The 21,708-nt window shown below is 36.3% G+C and overlaps 1 protein-coding gene across 11 annotated transcripts in view; it reads right to left on the bottom strand.

Annotated features, from left to right (window-relative positions):
- Positions 1-21,708, bottom strand: part of IQCH (IQ motif containing H) — a 247,019-nt gene that overhangs the window by 143,385 nt on the left and 81,926 nt on the right. For 7 of the 11 annotated variants that reach the window (NR_147832.2, NM_001322475.2, NM_001284348.2 and 4 more), the window contains 2 exons: positions 14,229-14,357; positions 999-1,075 (listed from right to left, as the gene is read on the bottom strand). Coding sequence is in view for 6 of the 11 variants with exons in the window: in NM_001322475.2 (NP_001309404.2) it covers positions 999-1,075; positions 14,229-14,346 (195 nt within the window). In the remaining 5 variants the exon portion in view is untranslated. Of the gene's footprint in view, positions 1-998; positions 1,076-14,228; positions 14,358-21,324; positions 21,446-21,708 lie in introns of all 11 variants that reach the window. The other 4 variants (NM_001284347.2, NM_001322471.2, NM_001322472.2 and 1 more) reach the window with 2 other exon arrangements.

The following is a 21,708-nucleotide window of genomic DNA, read 5'->3' as shown; positions in this document are numbered from 1 at the left end:
GTTCGAGACCAGCCTGGCCAACATAGCGAAACCTTGTTTTTACTAAAAATACAAAAAATTAGCCAGGAGTGGTGGTACATCCCTGTAATCTCAGCTACTCGGGAGGCTAAGGCATGAGAATCACTTGAATCTCGGAGCCAGAGGTTGCAGTGAGCCGAGACTGTGCCAGCCTGGGTGACAGAGCAAGACTCCATCTCAAAAAAAAAAAAAAAGAAAAGAAAGTGCCTCATGATGGTTAAAAAAGAAAAAAAAAAAAAAAAAGGCCAGGCGTGGTGGCTCATGCCTATAATCCCAGCGCTTTGGGAGGCCGAGGCAGGTGGGTCACTTGAGGTCAGGAGTTCGAGACCAGCCTGGCCAAAATGGTGAAACCCCGTCTCTACTAAAAATACAAAAATTAGCCGGGCATGGTGGTAGGCACCTGTAATCCCAGCTACCTGGGAGGCTGAGACGTGAGAATCGCTTGAACCCAGGAGGCAGAGGTTGCAGTGAGTCGACATAGTGCACTGCACTCCAGCCTGGGCAACAGAGTAAGTGAGACTCTGTCTTGAAATAATAATAATAATAATGATAATACAGAATTCTTTCCCCTGCTTCATTAAGGTATTCTATGTTTGGAGATCTTGCCTTTTTAGCCTGTATTTAAAGACAAATGAAATACAGTAGAACCTCACAATAAGACATCCTATACCATACAAATTTGGATACAAAGCAATAGCTACTGGACTCCTGACCAGTTAGTATTAGAGGCTGAGCCAGTCATTTAGTTAATCTTGCAATGATGCAACATGATTGAATTTTTTAGACCCCACCAATAACATTATGCTAGAGTTGACTTGTACAATTCCCCTTTTGAAAGTCAAATGCATACCAGCAGCAGCTGAAATAGCACTTATTTCTATGTTGAAGGTACAACTCAATAACGTGTAAATCACCAAATATCTCACAGAAAGTGCTGTAAATAAGAATAATTTTCTTTCTATAGTGAGGAATATAAATACCTTTGATCTTTGTTTCTTGGGAAAGAACTTCACTTCTGCTGGAGATGGAGGTGGTTCCCGAGGTATAGTGAAAGTGGCTGTGGATGAAGATAGTACATGTTACCTTTTCCAGAAGAAGAGGCTGAGTCACTGGTTGGATGCTATTGGGTTTGCACCTTGAAAGTCAAATGGCTCTGTCACCCACTGTGCGCTCACTACCTTTCTTTCTGTATTCATTCAATGAAACAGCTATGATCACTGACTTCAAAAGGAAGCCAAGAGCATGAGAGGGCAACAGTTCTATTAGAATACAAAGTCAGCCCGCCTTATGCAAACTGCCTAGATAAAAAGGCAAATTTTAAAAGCAGGCACATTTTAAAAGCAGGCAAATTAGAGAGTAATATCTGTCTTATAAAATGCTTTGTTAGAAGATTTCTTTAAATAGCCAGATTCCCAGGTTCATGTAAAATGTGATTTAACATAGCTACATATGGACTATTCTATTGTGTAAAAAAAAAGATTCTAAAAAATTTAAATGACTGAGGGAAGTGACACAAGTGAAAAGCACCATAAAGATTATTTTTGAAATTAGTTAAGTCTATAAGCAACAACTTTTAGAGAACACACCTAGCCCATGGTCGAGGAAGAATGGGCCCACATGCTAGATAATGCTCTCAATCACATCTCTCCTACTGCCTAGCAGCAAACCTGACTGCCCTTTACCAAAAGCCCAAGTCTGACATTCTCAGGGGAGAAAAATCCTTATACTACTCAGCCCAAGAAAGAGAACAAAAAATTTATTTAAATGGTTAATTGAATAAAAGAAGTGAGGCTTCTTTCAGCTCAATTCCTTCAGCTCAACCCCCTTTTCTGTTAGTTTTCTATAACAACAATCTTAGAAGGAATTGACAGATATTGATCAAAAACAGCATGCTAGTAAAGGATATCAATATATAATTTAGAATCTCACTTTGAGGACTTGGTTCTCTTAGATTGCCTCAACTGAGCTGCAAGGAATATCTTCAGCTCTTTTTTAAAGAGTAGGAAAAATAGCAGAGCCTTTTCAGTGAAACTCACCTTCACAAAAGGGATTTCTTTGTTGCATTTGATCAACCCATTTTTACAACCCTCTGGTTTCCCTGGCTTCCGGCAAGCTTCCCTGTGACTTGTAGTCCTCACTATCCCCTGGCCAGTAGTGTATGAAGACCCCATTTTAAGGGTATAGTTTTTGCCTTCAGTTCTATGCTCTCCTTCCCTGGTGTCCACTTTGGAGTTTGCTCTCCCACTTCTGAAGGTAAGTCCACATTCTGTGTTCAGCCTGCTTTGAATCCACAGATTCACCAGTAAAATTTGTTATTCCTATTGTCTGCAGACTCAGTACAATTTTTGTTTAACTTTCAGGTTCTTGCAGAAAAGTGAGATTTATGGCTAAATTCCCATGTTCAAACAAAATAGCAGCTGAGAAATTTTCAAGTGGGCATAACTTTTAAAGGATTTTAGTAAAATTGTAATACAATTTGGTAGGACAAAGATCTCAAGGATAAGTAATTTCACATGGCTAATCCACAGTTAATGATATCAATAAGAATTTTCTTAGCTGTCTGCAGAAATGCTATCACTAAATTATTATTTCATGTGGCCTTGGATTTTATGAGACACATGCATTTGAGGAATGTGTCTGCATTTTTACAAAACCGTATCCTAATGCACTGCCTATTTTGCTACTCAATTTCCCTGCTGGAAAAATCTGTTTGGTAAATTTTGCCAGAGTTAATGGAGAGGAAAAAATCCTTGTCTTTCTGGACAAACTTGTATGCTTTTGTGGTAGTTATTACTAATTTTTTTTTTTTTTTGAGATGGAGACTTGCTCTGTCGCCCGGGCTGGAGTGCAGTGGCACAATCTCGGCTCACTGCAAGCTCCACCTCCCAGGTTCACACCATTCTCCTGCTTCGGCCTCCAGAATAGCTGAGACTACAGGTGCCCACCACCACGCCCAGCTAATTTTTTTTTGTATTTTTTGGTAGAGACGGGGTTTCACTGTGTTCGACAGGCTGGTCTCAATCTCCTGATCTCGTGATCCACCCACCTCAGCCTCCCAAAGTGCTGGCATTACAGGCGTGAGCCACCGCGCCCGGCCAGTTATTACTAATTTTAGAGCCCCAGTTTTTTCAGAGTGACAATATGCCCAACTCCTAGCAAATTAGAAAAAAAATTTTTTTAAGAACATGCAGTTAAATTTTAACTTAAGATAAACAATAAATAAGTTTTTAGTATGTCTCAAATATTAAATATACTTATCCAACAAAGAATAACAGAATTTCCATGAATGGATTAGAATAAGCATAACATCATTCTAAGAATTTATTTAGTATAAGTATGTCTATAATCCTAATGTTAGCTCTAACCCTATCCCTGGACATCCACTTTCCCAGCCTTTCTCATAGCTAGCAGTGAGCAGTGAGATGTAAGGGAAAGTCCACCCCAAGGCTTCTGGGAAGAGACTGACACCACTATTTTCCCCTTCATCTGGCCTGGAATGTGTATGTAAGGCCCAGGGCTGCAGAAGCCATCTTATGACCAAGAGGTGGCAAGCATGAAGATTAAATCAAACATACCAAAGAGGGTAAAGTAGAAAGAACACCATGACAACCTGCTGATCAATGCCACCATCCCTAGGCTCCTCACTTCCCAATTTCTTGTGTACGAGACAAATTCTTCATTGTTTAGGCCACTGGTATTTTTCTGATATTTATAGTCACATGCATTCCTGAGTGGTACTACCTGTTCCCGTCTCTCCCTCCTTCCCTCTTCTCTTCCTTCCATACTTTGTCTTATTGCATGTGCTAGGACCTCAGTACAAAAATGGTGGCAACAATGATCATCCTTGACTTGTCTCTGCTTTTAATCGAGAAGTAGAAAAGGAATGCTTCAAAATTTCCCCTACTAAGAGTATTTTTTGCTCTAGGGCTTTGGTTGATAACAACAATCAGGTTCAGAAAATTCTCTTCTATTCTGCTCCATCCAGAGGATTTTCCCTTATCATTAATGTTGAATAGTATTGAATGATTTTTTTTTCTTTTGGTATATATTGAGACCATGAGGTTTTTTCTTTTTAAATATGTTAATATGGTGAATTATATTGCTAAATTTTTCTGATGTTGAACTTTCCTTACATTTTTCCTTGATTATGATGAACATTTAAAAAATGTTAATGTTTTTTAGAATCTTTGCCTCTATGTTCCTAAATAAGATTGATCTATGTATATTTTTTCTTGTACTGTGCTTTTTCAATTTTGGTAGCAAAGTTACAATAGCTCCATAAAATCAGTTGATAAGCTTTTCCTCTTTTTTTCCCCTATGGAATAGTATAAAAAGAATTAACTGACCTGTTAAGGTTGGTAAAACTTGCCTATAAAAGGCCTGAGGCCTTCTCCCCTCTGGCATATTAGAGTATGTGAGTGTGTGTCTGTGTGTGTGTGTTTAAAAGACAGAGAGATATTTTTGACTACCATTTCAAATTATCTAATAATATTGTTTTAAGTTTGTTATTTTTTCTCAAGTTATTTTTGGTAGTTCACATTTTTCTAGGAAATTTTTCATTTCATATTTTAAAATATATTGGCACAAAGTTACCATACTATGATTTTTTAAAAATTCTACTGTATCTATAGTTAAGTGACCTTTTTTCATTTTAGTAGTGTTTACGTGTGCCTTCTATTTTCCTTTCTTTATCATTATTGTCAGAGATCTGCCTGTTTTATGTTCTTTTAAAGAAGCCAATTTTTGACGGCGCAGTGGCTCAGGCCTGTAATCCCACATTTTGGGAGGGCAAGGTGGGCGGATTGCCTGAGCTCAGGAGTTTGAGACCACCCTGGGCAACATGGTGAAACCCTCTCTCTACTAAAATACAAAAAATTAGCCGGGCGTGGTGGCGCGCACCTGTAGTCCCAGCTACTCGGGAGGCTGAGGCATGAGAACTGCTTGAGCCCTGGAGGCAGAGGTTGCAGTGAGCTGAGATCACGCCATTGCACTCCAGCTTGTGCTACAGAGTGAGACTCTGTCTCAAAAAAAAAAAAAAATAAATAAATATAAAATAAAAAAATAAAGAAGCCAATTTTTAATTATTTTGGGTCATTTTTGTTTTTACTTTCTTAATGTCTGCTTTTATTTTCATTATTTCCTTTCATTTTTTTTCCCAGTTTACTGCTTTTCTTTTTCTGTCTTCTTGTGTTTAATTAGGCTTACGTCACTTATTATCAATTGTTCTTGTTTTCTTTTTTCTTTATTTTTTTTTTTGAGACTGAGTCTCGCTCTGTCACTCAGGCTGGATTGCAGTGGAGCAATCTTGGCTCACTGAAACCTCTGCCTCCTGGGTTCAAGCAATTCTCCTGCCTCAGCCTCCTGAGTAGCTGAGATTACAGGTGCGCACCACCACGCCTGGCTAATTTTTGTATTTTTAGTAAAGACGGGGTTTCACCATTTTAGTCAGGCTGGTCTTGAACACTTGACCTCGTGATCCACCCACCTTAGCCTCCCAAAGTACTGGAATGTTCCTGTTTTCTACTAAATGCATATAAACAATGGATGAGGTTGCTCAGAAGTGATGAAAGACATTGGTCTACAGATTCAAGAATCCCAATAAATACAAAGCAGGATAAATAAAAAGACCTATATGCCTAGATGCATCACAATGAACCTGTAGAACACAAAAGACAAAAAGAACTTATTTCAACTAGAGAGGAAACAAAAGACAAATTGTTTTCATCCACAATTTTAGCCACTATCTACCACTGACTCCTCAATAGTCCACAGGCTCCTCAATAGCAGATATAATTGCTAGAAAACAATGAAATAATATATTGAATGTGCTGACAAGATAACTTTCAAAAGTCAGGACATAAACACATTTTGAGGCAAATAAAAGTTGAAAGAGTTTACCACCAGCAGAAACAGGCTTGTACTAGTGGAAATTGAAAGAATATAATTTAGGGAGATGGAAGTGAATGCAGTATTGAAAGTCAGAGATGCAACAAGGAATGAAGAGCAAAGACAGTGACAAATCTGTTGGCTAATATAACAAATTCTGATTACATAAAAAACATTAACAATAATGTCTTGTGGGTTTTTTTAAAAAGATACAACTAAAATACATAAGAAAAATAGATGTTACATCAGGAGGGAGATGGAGTTAAAATGTTCTGAGGTTTTTATACTGTTAAAGGGAAAAGTACAGATATTTATTAACTTTAGACTTTGATAAGTAATATATGCATGTGAAAATAAGAAGCTAATCACAATAAGAATATAAAAGGAATGTATCAATTCCAAAATAATAGAGGAATAAAAGTATAATGAGGAAAAATAATCTATTCAAAAGAAGACAATAAAGGAAAGAAAATGAAATAGCAACAAAACAGGGCAAGGCACAAACAGAAACAGTCTAGATGGAAGAAATATTATCAAAATATATTAGTAATTAGAATAACTGTAAATACAGTAAATGCTAAATGGATAACGATGGTCAGAATGATTTTTTTTTAAATTCAGCTATATACTATTTATAAAAGACAGACTTAAAACATATTGCTACAGAAAGATTAAAAGTAAAAAAATGAGAAAAGATATGCCAGGCAAACAATAACCAAAAGGAAGCTGATGTGGCTATATTAACAGACAAAATGCTATTTATGCTAAAAAGCAATTATAGAGATAATGAAGGACAGTGTGCAATGATAAAAGTTCCCATTTACTAGTAAGATATAATAACTATAGTAAGAGTTGGCAAGGATGTGAATCCACAGAGTATCTTACACACTGAAGGTAGAAATGTAAATTGATGCAATGACTTTAAAAGACAGTTTGGCATTACTTTCTAAAGTTGAATGTTCGCCTACCCCATGACCAACATTTCCACTCATATTGACCAAGAAAAACGCTTGTGCATACTCAGTAGGAAACGTGAAGGAATGCACGGCAGCACTGTTCACAATACCAAAGGATGAAATCAACCCAAAAGTCCATCAACAGAAGACTGGATAAATTAACTATGGTCTATTCAAACCATCACCTTCAGCAAACTAACACAGGAACAGAAAACCAAACACTGTATGTTCTCACTCATAAATGGGAGCTGAACAATGAGAACACACAGACTTAGGGAGGGGAACATTACACACCAGGGACTGTTGGGGGGTGGGGGGAAGCAGGAGGGAGAGCATTAGGACAAATACCTAATGCGTGCAGATCTTAAAACCTAAATGATGGGTTGATAGGTGCAGCAAACCACCATGGCACATAAATACCTATGTAACAAACCTGCACGTTCAGCACATGTATCTCAGAACTTAAAGTAAAATAAACAAACAAACAAAATGGAATATTCTACAGCAGCCAAAAGAAATGAATTCAGTGATGTGCAGCATATCTACTTCAAGACTCTAATTCAGTATTTCAGGGAGGGCCCTGGCATCTCTAGTTTGATGCATACAGGCCATCTCCTTAGAATTCCACTTCTCCAGCTTTGCGTACAGCTCCCTATGCTTTCCTTTCATGTCAAGCAGGTGTCCCTCCCCCATTATTCTTTCTAAAAGTCAGACTTACTGAGTTACTACTTACATACAGTAAAATTCACCCTTTTTTAGTGTATACTTTTATAAGTTTTGGCAAATGTGTAAGTCATATAACCATCACCACAATCAAGATATAAAATAATTCCAGGCTAGGCACGGTGGCTCACACCTGTAATCCCAGCACTGTGGGAGGCCTAGGCGAGTGGATCACGAGGTCAGGAGATTGAGACCATCCTGGCCAACATGGCGAAACCCCATCTCTACTGAAAATACGAAAAATTGGCTGGGTGTGGTTGCGGGCGCCTGTAGTCCCAGCTACTTGGGAGGCTGAGGCAGGAGAATTGCTTGAACCTGGGAGGCGGAGGTTGTAGTGAACCGAGATCACACCACTGCACTCCAACCTGGGCAACAGAGCGAGACTCCATTCTCAAAAAAACAAAAACAAAAAAACAAAAACAATTCCAATACCTGCCAAAATTCCTGCATGCCCCTTTTACAGTCAACTACTCTCCCCATCCCCAGGCAACTCTTGATCTGTTTTCTGTCTTCATTGTTTCATTTTCTAAAAATGTCATGTAAATAGAATCATATGGTGTGTAGCCTGTTGAGTTTGGCTTCTTTCACTTCGCATAATGCATTTGGGATTCATCTGTATTGTGCATGTATCAGCAATTAGTTCCTTTTTAGAGCAAGCTGTACTCCATTGTATGGATGTACCTCAATTCATCAGCTGAGACATCTGAGTGGTTTCCAGTTTTTGGTGATTATGAATAAAGCAACATTCATATATTACAAACCTTCATATACAGGTTTTTGTGTAAATATGTTTTCATTTATCTTGGGTAAATAGATAACTAGGAGTGAGATTGTTGGGTCATACAGTAAATGCATGTTTAACTTTATAAATAACTGCCAAACTGTTTTCCAAAGTGTTTGTACCATTTTGCATCCCTACCAACAAGGAATGAGAGTTGCAATTGTTCCATATCCTCATGTAGTGGTATCCCACTGTGGTTTTAATTTGCATTTCTCTAATGACTAATGATGTTAAGCATGCTTTCATGTATCTATTTACTATCCATATATCTCCTTTGGTAAAGTGTCTGCTCATGTCTTTTGTCTGTTATGTTATTGGGTTGTTTGTTTCTTATCACTGAGTTTTAAGAGTCTTTATATGTTCTGGATAAAAATACATGATCAGTTATTGTTTTAAAATATTAACTCTCAATCTATAGCTTTTCTTTCTTTCCTTTTTTTTTTTTTTTTGAGATGGAGTCTTGCTCTTGTTGCCCAGGCTGGAGCAATGGCGCAATCTCGGCTCACTGCAACCTCTGCCTCCTGGACTCAAGCCTCAGTCTCCCAAGTAGCTGGGATTATAGGTACCCACCACCACGCCTGGCTAATTTTTGTATTTTTAGTAGAGACGGGGTTTCACCATGTTGGCCAGGTTGGTCTCAAACTCCTGACCTCAAGTGATCCACCCAACTTGGCCTCCCAAAGTGGTGGGATTACAGGCATAAGCCACTGTGCCTGGCCAATCTATAGCTTTTCTTTTCATTTTCTTAACACTGTGTTCCAAAGAGTATAAATGTTTAATTTTGATGAAGTCCAATGTATCCAGTTTTTCATTTTATGGATTTTGCCTTTGGTGTGGTACGTAAGAAACCTTTGCCTAACTCAAGAACACAAAAAATTTTCCCCTTTGTTTTCTTCCAAAAGTTTTATAGCTTAGGCTGTATATTTAATTTTATAAACCATTTTGGGTTAATTTTTGTACATGGTGCAAGGAATGGGTTAAGGTTCTTTTTTTCCCTTTTATATACATGTCCAGTTCTTCCAGCACAATTTGTTGAAAAAATTATGCCTTCTCCATTGAATTGCCTTTGCATCTTTGTCAAAAATGAATTGACCAAGTATGTGTGGTTCTATTTCTGTACTCTTTATTCTGTTCCATTGATCTCTGTGTTTATCCTTTTGCCAATACCACACGGTCCTGATTACTGTAGCTTTATATTAACTCAGATAACAAGAGTCCTCCAATGCTGTTTTCCTTTTTCACAATTGTACTAGCTATTGTAGCTCCTTGCCCTTTCCACAAACTTTAGAATCAGCTTTTCAATCTCTACAAAAAATCTTACTGAGATCCTGATTGGGACTGCATTGAATTTATAGATCAATTTGGGGAAAATTAATTACAAAAATATTTAGTCTTCTAATCTATGAACATGGCTAATCTTTCTAATTTACTTAGGTCTTCTTTTAATTTTTTCATTAGTGTTTTATAGCATCCAGCATCCATAGGTTTGCAAATATTTGTTAGCTTTATACCTAAGTATTTAATATTTGTTGTTATGTTAATGGTATTTTTTTAATATTCGATTTCCAATTGTTCATTTCTAACAAATTGAAATTCAATTTATTTTTGTATGTTAATCTTGTGTCCTCAAACCTTGCTGAACTTCCTTGTTAGTTCTAGTAGCTTTTGTGTGTGCGTGTGTGTGTGTGTGTGTGTGTGTGATGGCTTGCGAATTTCTATGCAGTAATTGTGCTGTTTGCAAAGAGAGTTTTATTTCTTCCTTTCCAATCTGCATGTCTTTTGTTTCTTTTTCTTACCTCACTGCATTGGCTAGGAACTTCAGTACAATGTTGAATAGAAGTGGTGAGAGTGCACAACCATGTCTTGTTCCTGATCTTAGGTGAAAAGCATTCATTCAAACACTATTGTGATATTAGTTGTAGACATCTTTTATCCGTTTGAGGAAGTTCCCTTGATTCTTAATTTTCTTAGAGCTTTTGATACAAATGGATGTTGATTTTTTTTAAATTGAGATGGTTATATAGTTTTTCTTCTTCAGTCTATTCATATGGTGACTTACAATGATTGATATTTAAATGTTGAAACAGCCTTGCATTCCTAGGATAAACCCCACATGGTCATGATGTAATATATATAAAATACATAATCTCTCTCTATATATATAAACATATATATCTATATATAAATATATAGATATATAAATATATAAAAATATCTATATATCTATATATAAATATATATCTATATATATATATAGACAGAGCACTAGATTCAATTTGCTATATTTTGTGAAGGACTTTTGTATCTATTTTCATAAAGAATACTGGGCTGTAGTTTTTTTCTAAAGTCTTTGGTTGTGGTGTCAGGGTGATGATAGCTTCATAAAATTATCTGGGAAGTGTTTCTTTCTATTCTATTTTTCAGGAAGAATTTCTGCAACATTGATAATATTTCTTTCTTAATTGTTTGGTAGAATTCACCAGTGATGCCATATGGTATCATTTTTTTTCTTACAATGTTTTTAAGTACTAAGTCAATTTCTTTAATAAATGTAGGACTAATCAGGTTATCTATTTCTTCTGGAGTGAGCTTAGGTAGTATCTGTCTTTCAAAGAATTTGTCCATCAATATAAACTGTCAACATTATAGGCATAAAGTTGTTTATAATGTTCTCTTATCATCTTTTAAATGTCTATAGGATCTGTAATGATGTCTCTTCTTTTGTTCCTGATACTGGTCATTTGTGCCTTCTCTCTTTTAATCTTGGTTAGTCTGCCTAGAGGCTTACCAATTTTATAAAAATGTTCCATGAAACACAGTTTGGTTTCACTGAATTCCTTTTTTTTTTTTTTCTATTTTCCATTTCACTGACTTCTACTTTTGTCTCTATTATTTCCATCTGCTGCTTGCTTGGGTATAATTTGCTTTTCTTTTTCTGGTTTTTTAGAGTGGGAGCTTAGATCATTAATCTGAGATATTTCTTCTTTTCTAATAAAAGTATTTAATGCTAAAAATTTTTCTTAAGCACTACTTTAGCTGCATCTTACAAACTTCAATATGTTGTGTGGTCATTCCCATTTAATTCAAAATATTTTTTTAATATCCTTGTGACTTCCTCTTTGATCCACGGGTTATTTAGAAGTGTGTTTTTGCATTTGGGGGATTTTCTACTTTTTAGTTTAATTCTGTTAAGGTCAGAGAACATAATGTGTAAGATTTTAACTATTTTAAATTGGTTAATATTTGTTTTATGGTCCAGAATATGGTCTATTTTGGTGAATGTTCCATGTGCATTTGAAGTAAATGCATGTTCTGTTGTGTTTTAATGCTCTATAATGGTCTACATGGCCTATAATACCGTTCTATCATAGTCTTCTATAGCAGGGGTCCCTAACCCACAAGCCACAGACTGGGTACTGTGGCCCATTAGGAACTGAGCTACACAACAGGAGGCAAGTGGCAGGTGAGCAAGCATTACCATCTGAGTTCATGCCTCCTGTCAGATCAGCAGCAGCATTAGATTTTCATAGGAGCAAGAACCCTATTGTGAACTGCACATATGAGGGATCTAGGCTGCATGCTCCTTATGAGAATCGAATGCCTGATTATCTGAGGTGGAACAGTTCCATCCTGAAACTATTCCTCCCCACCTCTTGTCTGTGGAAAAATTATTTCCCAGAAAACTGGTCCCTGGTGTCAAAAAGGTTGGGGACCACTGTTCTATAGTATTTTTTTGGGGGGGGGTTACTAGTTCTATTGATTATTGTGAGATATAATTCTGGATTTATTATTTCTGTTTTATTAATTTTTGCTTCATGTATTTTATATTTCTGTTTTTAAGTAAATACACATTTAGGAATGTATGTCTTCTTGCTGGATTGATCCTTTTATCATTAATGTGCCTCTTTATTCCTGTTAATGTGTCTTCATCTGATAGTAATAGAGCCATTCCAGCTTTCTTTTCATTATTGTTTGTATGGTATCTTTTTCCATCTTTCTCCTTTTTATTAATTTTTAATTTACATTTAATTTGTGTCTAGTCCTATAATTTATTTTTGAATTAAAAATATATAAACTTCTTATTTTGGAATAATTTTAGATACAGAAAAGTTGCAAAGATGATCTAGAACGGTCCTGTATACCTTCATTCAGTTTCCCTTAATGTTAACATATTCCATTACCACGGTCCATTTGTCAAAAGCAAGAAACCATCATTGATACATTATTATTAACTAAACTCAAGACTTCATTCAGATTTTACTAGTTTTTACACTCTTGTCTTCTTACTGTTCCAGGATCTTTTCCAGGATATCTCATTGTATTTAGTCATCATGTCTCCTTAGGCTCCTCTGGTCTGTGACAGTTTGTCAGTCTTTCCCTGTTTTCATGACCGTGACAGTATTGAGGAGTATGGTCAGGTATTTTGTAGAATGCCTGAAATTTGGGTTTGTCTGATGTTTTTCTCATAGTTTTTCTGTAGTTATAGGTTGTTGGGGCAGAATAACATAAAGGTGAAGTCCTTCCTCATCGTGTCATATTAGGGGGCACATGATATCAACATGAATTATGACTAATGATATTATCCTTGGTCATTTGGTTAAGGCAGGGTTTGCAGGTTTCTCCATTGCGAATTTTCTGTTTTTCTTCTTTCCGTACTCTATTTTGGATGTGAATCACTAAATCCAACTCACATTCAAAGAGAAGGGAGGGGTGGATAAATAAGCTTCATTTCCTGGAGGAGGAGGTAACTGTTTAAATTATTTGGGGCTGGGCGCGCTGGCTCATGGCTGTAATCCCAGCACTTTGGTAGGCCAAGGCGGGTGGATCACCTGAGGTCAGGAGTTTGAGACCAGCCTGGCCAACACGGTGAAACCTCATCTCTACTAAAAATACAAAAAATTAATCAGGCGTGGTGATGGGTGCCTGTAATCACAGGTACTTGGGAGGCTGAGGCAGGAGAATCGCTTGAATCCAGGAGGCAGAGGTTGCAGTGAGCCAAGATTGCGCCATTGCACTCTAGTCTGGGCAACAAGAGTGAAACTCCATCTCAAAACAAATAAATAAAAATAAATACATTATTTGGAATTCTTCTATAGAAAGATTTGTCACTTCTCACCCTACTCCTATTTTAACCTATCTGTCTTGACATTTAAATTGCAATTCTTAGAGACCACATACAGTTGGGTCTTGCTTATTTATCCAATCTGACAATCTCTGTCTTTTAATTGGTGTATTTAGAACATTCACACTTAATGTAAAGATAGCCTTCACTTTGGACTGTTCCAGTATGTACAAATTCTAGTATTACAGTTTAGTTAAATAACATCAGTACCCCAACATAGTTCAAATTCCAGTTACCATAAAATTGTAATTGCATAAAATATAAATTTGCTGCTAGAACTCTATTCCACAAATCACTACATAAGTGACAGATGCATATCAAGGTCAGTGACCATTCAAGTCATTCCATTCAAAGTCTGTCAGTCATTGGTCACTGTGCATCTGTTTTTGAGTTTGCATACAGACTAAAGAATGTAGTAGTATTGCCTCTTTGACTCCCAGTGATAAATCCACATCATCTTTTTTTCACAAAAAATGTACAAATGAAAGACAGAGTTGGTTAAGGAGGTTAAAAGTACGCCAGAAGAATGAAAACTGATAGTGCTCAAAGTGAAATGGAAATATATTGTAAATAGAATTATAGAAGAAATAGCTGACTGTGGGAATGTAGTGAAACTCAGGATGATTACAACTTTCATCTTGTCCTATTATTGAGGACAAAAGTTGGCTACTAGAAGGCTAGATCTGGGGCAGAGATAATTTCTGTGTGTCCCCAACTGAACTGAGATGCATGAGTATCTTACCTACAGTTGGAATCTTACGTGCTTCATCAAAACTATGCAGAGGAGCTGCTCTGGGTGTAATGGGTGGATTCTGAAAGGTAATCCTTGCTGTTGGTGGAATCAGCCCTCGTTCTATCATACTTAAAATCCCTAAAAAGAAACATTAATAAAATGTGAGTTTAATTCCAAGCAATTCCACAAAGTCTGAGCTCTATAAATTTCACAAGTGTAACTTACTCCATTCATCATCTTATTTGTGAGGGTACATCTAGTGCCTTAATCCTTTGCATAAAAAAATAGCTACAGTACACATTCATTTAAATGTAATATTCTAACCCAAGGAAAAATGTCATTTCCAATGGCAGTAATATGAAATAAAATTGCACTAAAGTAATTTCATTTTAAGGTGGAAATATAATTTCAAGGCAAACTAAAACTTCTTTATACTTATGATATTTTCAATCATTGGTAATATTATTACTCTTTTTAAAATTCAGAGAAATCAGGCACAGATTCTTAATAACTAAGGAGATCCTTTGTTCCAAAAGAAGGAAATCTGTGTACTTGAAACCATGCCCCTGTTGTATAATCAGTCATGCTTTATCAAATAAGGAGTTATTTTTAGACATTTCTCATATCACCAGAAACATTAATGCTCAGATAGGTTATTTTAATACAACTGGGCAAAATGGTTAGTATTAATGTAACTAATTTACAATTCCTAGCATTCATACTGTGTTAGCATGGCTGGTGCCAAATCTTTTGAAGGATAAGAGACATCATTAAATAAATAAACAAATGAATAAGTCAATGAATGATTGACCCAAGCCTGCTGTTAGAGGGAAAACTTTTGTTAAGGTGGATCTACTGTGTTGAAGCCAGAAACCTAAAACTTGGGGACTACTTGCAATAAATTTGTGGTAGGGCTTCAGTTTCTTGTTGCTCTTTTACATAATAGAAAGTAAGTAAAGAGCTCTGGGTCTCAACAAAATCCTAGAATACAAACTGTGTATTCAAGTTGGCCTAAGTTGAAGAATTTGGCACACAACTTGGTCCCTTCTAAGAGGGACCAATGCTATTTCTATTTACCTTATGACCTCTATACTATATTACTATTAAGAATGTTAGTCTAGTGTTATAGGAATTCAGTAGAATGATCACTGAAGGGTTGGAGAGCTGAAAAATAGTTCACTTGTAAAACACTGATTTCAAAGAGAAATCTTCAGTTTACTTACTGAAGAATCATTTAGGAGAAGAATTTGTTATTAAAAGCGGAGATGCCTGGGCCCCAACTCAACCTGTCCAAACTTCTGAGGACAGGGCCTGGGAATCTGCATTATTGAAGGCTCCAGGAGATATTCATGTGCGCTGAAGTTAGAGAACCACTAGAATTGGGGCCCAGTAACATACATGTTAAATAAGCACTCCAGGTTAATCTTTTGTACTCTTAACACTTAAGAATTACTGATCCAGAGTATAACACTTTAGGACCTTTTTGAAATTAGTACTTCAGGTTTTAATTTTTATAACACTAGATTGAACTACTTTAAAAATCTTGTAAGACTAATTCTTTGTCCTCACAAATATTTTCCACCTATAAATATCAAATTTCATTTCCAAGAACTCTGTTTTGCAGATGTGAAAAACAGGTCTCCTTATAATTTAATATATTTTTCATTTCAAGAGTCAGTTTCATTTTCTGAGAATTCTGAAGACTATAAGCACGATTTCAACCCTTGCTTTAGTGCTGGTTGAAGCAATTATCCTAATTTCAGACAAACACATATGTGTGCCCATCTACTATTGGAAGGAAAAAATTAAGATTTTCGAACAAGCAGAAGAGATTACTGAGTATCTTTTCATTGAAATGCTGGAATCTCTGAAGATTATCTGACCTACAGTCCTACAGGACTCTGTATGCATCTTTGTTTTGTTTTGCTTTTTTAGAGACAGGGTCTCATTCTGTTGATCAGGTTGGAGTGCAGTGGCACCATCATAGCTCACTGCACCCTTGAATACCTGGGCTAAAGTGATCCTCCTGCCTTATCCTTGGTAGCTTAAACTATTGGAATAGCACCATCATGTCTGGCTTTTTTTTTTTTAATGTAGAGACTAGGTCTTGCTATATTGTCCAGGCTAGTCTTGAACTCCCGGTTTCAAGCAATCTTCCTGCCTTGGCCTCCCAAGGTGCTGAGATTATAGGTGTGAGCCACTGTGCCAGGTGTGAGCCACTCTGCATCTTTGTTTTTAATTGTCCATTTTATAATTCTGTAAAGATTAAGGTTCATTTGTAGAAATCTGATAAGAATGTCACTAATTATTGTTTATACACATGCAAATTTAAATTCTTACACATGGAAGGACCACTCCCTGAAAAGCCAGTTTTGCATCCATTTGCAAATTTATTTAAATATTCTCGATTTATAAATGTGTCTATTTGGATTGTCCTTTGAATTTACTGTAACATCTTACTAGCTCCCTCACTTAATTAATAAGCTAATAAAATCTTTGACATGTGTTCATTTTATATTTATATAAGAGTCATAACTTTACTTTTAAAAAAAATCATCCTTTAACATTTTGGAGATCCCACTGAGATGAGCAAAACGGTCACCTGAAGTAATCAGAAATGATGTATCTCACAGGAAGCCAAGCCCAGGCATGATTTTTCTTGGCCCCCACAGGTTAATTTAAAGTTTCTTGTTTTTCTAATTTTAATTTTACTCTCTATTAATTTGTTTTTCTTTTTAGTTCATTTATGGATGGCAAGTTATTCCCTGTTGGCAGCTGCCATGATTGGGAATTTGGTGATCTCTGGAAATGATCTAATGTCTTATAGAGAATACAGTTTGTTAGTTTTTGTCCATCTGTCTATTTTGAGCTCAAATTAGGAATTTCTTGTTCACAAGGAAGGAGAACAACTCTTTGATATCTGGACTGGTAAGCTTTTTTGTGTTTCTGTGTTTATTTTCTCTCTCTTTTTCTTTCTTTCTTTATTTTTATTTTTTTTAGACACTCTGTAGCCCAGGCTAGAGTATAGTGGCATGATCTCAGTTCACTGCAACCTCCGCCTCTAGGGCTCAAGCCATCCTCTCGCCTCAGCCTTCTGAGTAGCTGGGACTACAGGTTCACCACCATACCCGGCTCATTTTTGTATTTTTTTGTCGGGGTTGCGGTTTTGCCATTTTGCCCAGGCTGGTCTCAAACTCCCGGACTCCAGCAATCCGTCTACCTTCACAGCCTCCCAAAGTGCTGGGATTAGAGGCATGAGCCGCTGCGCCTGGCCACTTGTGTTTATTCTCTATCTGTGGCTGAAATGGTAGAATTGAGGATATACACTCTATCTGTATGTCTTTGTATCTGTAATTCAGGAAGTTCCTTATCTCCCATTGTGAGTGCAGAATGTTTTCCTGTCTCCAGATGGCATTAATAAATTAGATCATAAAGGAATTCTGTTCTGATTGGCTTGTAGAGATAAATAAGTGTTTATATAAATTGAATATTCATAAAATTACCAGAAAATAAAGAAATCAAACTTGTAATACTTTGAATGTGCTCCCTGGACCTCCCAAATTCAGAAACTCTGATTGAGTCTCTACTTTTCATGGCAATATAGTAATTTACATAGTTTCAGTGCTGCTCTCTTTGTACTAAGACATAACTAGAAAAATCACTATTCAACCAAGGCCTTGCCTAGAATTTTATATTTGAGAATAATGTTTATTTAATCAGGTATGACAAGTTACTGTTTTTTTTTTTTTTTTTTTTTTTTTTTTTTTTTTTTTTGAGATGGAGTATCTCTCTGTTGCCCAGGCTGGAGTGCAGTGTCACGATCTTGATTCACTGTACCTCTGCCTCCCGGGTTCAAGCAATTCTCATGCCTCAGCCTCCAGAGTAGCTGGGATTACAGGTGCCCGCCATCACACCTGGCTAATTTTTGTATTTTTAGTAGAGATGAGGTTTTGCCATGTTGGCCAGGCTGGTTTTGAACTCCTCACCTCAGGTGATCTGCTCGCCTTGGCCTCCCAAAGTGCTGGGATTACAGGTGTGAACCAATGTGCTGGCCGACGAGTCACTTTTAAAGAATCAAGGTTGATGCGTTATAGAGCCAATGCTTACAAGGTCCTCCCAGAAAAACTAGCCTGGTATATGGCTTACATGATTTTCAGCCTTATAGGTGGTAAGGAAGGTCACATGCTATAGCCCTAAGAACTTTAGGATATTTGGAGGACTTCTAGAAGAGAGAAATTTACCCAAATTTATAGGTCCTGCAGTTGAAATCTGATGAACAGAGTTTCTTGGGCTTGATTTTCTAGTCTTGGGATAGCAAATAATAGGGGATTTTATTCAGGCTGAGATTCTCTACAAAAACTTCCAACAAAGCAAATGTAAGGTGGCTTATATGGTAAATGAACATTCTTGCCCCACCTATGTAAATTATCAGGCCAAACCTACTGAGACCAGCCTTATTCTGTGAATTTTTGGTTTTTGAGATTGTTTTCGTCAAAAGGGGAGAAGATTGTAAGAATTTTTTTAAGTTTTAGAATAAGCAAATGGGATCACTGGATATCCTTTTAATAGAGTCCTGAAGTCTCCAGTGAATATCTGAGCCTAGCCTTTGATTAGGCTACTTACAACTCTGTAGATATTGAGGTTACTTTGTAAATAACTGATCATAATGCAAATAATTCTTATCTATAGACATGAAAATAAATTCTGTCTGGTGAAGGGGAATTCTCCTCATGGGAAATCCAATTTTGCATTTATTTGCAAATTTACTTCAGTATTCTTGATCTACAAATGTGTCCATTCTTTGGATTTTCTTTTGAACTGGTTGTTAACTGATGAATTAAATAAAAATCTTTGACCTGTGTTCATTTTATGTTTGTATGAGAGTCATGATTTTAGCTGTTTTTGAAAGTTATCCTTTAACACCATTGTTTTATTAAATCCTCATCCATGTTTAATAAAACACCATGTTTTATTAAATCCACCCTTACTTTCCTGTTGAATAGATTAAGAATTGGAAGTTCATTCATTCTGTCATTCGTTTAACTAATAAAGTGCCTATTATGTGTCAACAACTATTCTGGGGGCTGGGGATGCAGTGGTGAACCAAAAAGACCTCATGGAGCCTCAACTGGTAAAGAAGATATTAAATAGATTTAAAATAAATATATTATGATAAATTGTGATAATCTCTGAAGGAAAAGGGCAGGTGCTTGAGGAAGTGACCTTTACTGGCAGAGGAAAAGGCACTTGTGAAAGCCTGATCTGCAAATGTGCTTGGCCTGATAAAGATGAGAGATGAGAGCGAAGGCCTAGGTGGCTAAGTATAGAGAGAGCTGAGTGAGATGAGAAATGGAGATGTAGGTGAGGGCCAGATCAAGCACACCTTGTTCATAGAGTTCAGAGTTTCTTCTAAGATCAGAGAGCAATTTGCCTCAAGTCACAGAGCCAAACTGAAATTTGGTCTATGTAATGTAAAACTTGTATTCTTAACCATTTGGAGGGGTGGGGCAAAGCTTTCTTTTTTGGATTTAGCCAGGTATTCAAGAAAAAGTAGGAAAGTTTGAAGTTCATTTTTCAAAATGATTCTCTCTTCTGCATGTTATTAGTCTTTCACCTCATTCTGGACCTGTGTAGATCTGGGGTGAGGCTAAAACAACATTTAAGGGCATCAGAAACACCTAAAAAAATATAGACACTGTATTTATATTTCTGTGGCTTGTGGCTTCCTGACATTCATAGTATCTTGCACAATACCAGACATATTGCAAGTACTCAATAAATATATGCCGATTAATTTATTAATCCCTAATATGACAGTAGGCCATGTGTTCTCATGAAGATAATTTAGAAATGAAAATGTGATTTTTTTTCTGGATGAAGTTGCCAAAATTCTACATTTACTTTTATTTTGTGGCATTTTTTTATTGTCTCTATTGCTAAAGCAGAGCAGACAGATAGATAGATAGATAGATAGATAGATAGATAGATAGATAGACAGACAGATATATCGATTCATTCATTCATTCACTATTTCATTCATCCTAATTTGGTTCAGGAAGAATATAAGATGGTATTAAAGCAAGAAATGGGAACACTCTGCTGGTGTTATTCAGTATTCCCAGGAAGTAAATATTACATAAGCTAACTAGAAAGCATATGTCACAAAGATTGCTGAACAATGGTTTATAACCAGGAAAGTTGTGAGAAGCTTAACAAATCCAGAGATTTATAATGATCTCAGGTTATCTACCACCAGCAGACAGAAGATGCAGTAGCTAGAAGCTGGAGGACTTTGAATTTCCAGGTGGCAGAAGAACCTTTGGGAACCAGCTTTGGGTCCTAAAAATTCCAGACAACAGATAGAAGGCGAGATAAGGAATAATTAAAGACCGTCTCACTAAGTTATATTTGAGATAGGAAAGGGATCCACTTAGGCATTTTTTAACACTTTGGTCAATTAAATTAAATAGCAGGGAACAGTAGAGATGGTTACACTTAGGACATTCAGTATTTGGTCACTCGCTTGCTTATTCTTTCATTTTCTTATTCACTCAATCTACACTTAGTATCTACAAAATGCTGGATATGGTTCTAGGTGCTAGAGATACTGAGATAAAGATGAAATCCTTTGCTTAAAAACAAAATCCACTGGTTTCACAAGACTAGAGTTTAGACTAAAACATGCATAGTTTAAACACTAATTACATTAATTCTGGCTTCATATTTCCTTATAATAGGGTATTGAAATAAATTTTTAAAATGCTACCAGAATAATATATCAAAAATGATCTGCTCAGAAACTTAATAAATTCTAATGCTATCACATAAACACAATGATCATTTTAATAGGTAATAACACCATCTAAATCAATATTAAATCCATAGAATGATGAATTTTACAGGTGGAAGGGACTCTAGTGATCGTCTTGTCCAACCTTTTAATTTACAGAGCAGGAAACTCAGACCAGAGTGAGGACCTGACTTGTCTGAGGCCACCCAGGAGAATTAGTGGCTGAGCCAGAGTCCAAATTCAGGCCTCCGATCCTACCTCAATGCTCTTTCTTTTCCGTTCCTAAACACGTAAAATGGCTATTGAATCACTAACCTTTGTGGGCATCTGCTTGTAAGACTGGTATAGGAGTGAAATAGGGATCTGTGCAATGAGAAGATGGCAGAACCGTGAGGCTGGATATGTTAGACCCTTTGATTAACTTCGAAACCTTTATCTAGATAATAAAAAATTTGTTTCAGCAAACATTTTTGCCTTCACAGTGAACAGTTTTCTTCTTGTAAACAATAAATAAAGTTATGAATAGTTGCATTAAGTTTTAATAAAGTAGCAATATCAGCTCCAATTTTATTGCTCATGAATACCCTGTGCTATTGTCTACTACCATCAGGAGTTTGTGTAATTTAAAATAGTTAATTAAATCCAATTAACAAGTTGTGATTTCCACTATATAAAGTCAACATAGTAGTTAATAAAAGA

Source organism: Homo sapiens, chromosome 15 (assembly GCF_000001405.40).
Source record: "Homo sapiens chromosome 15, GRCh38.p14 Primary Assembly".
NCBI lineage: Eukaryota > Metazoa > Chordata > Mammalia > Primates > Hominidae > Homo > Homo sapiens.
The sequence above is the reverse complement of the archived record's forward strand: the minus strand, read 5'-3'. Positions and strand labels throughout refer to the sequence as shown.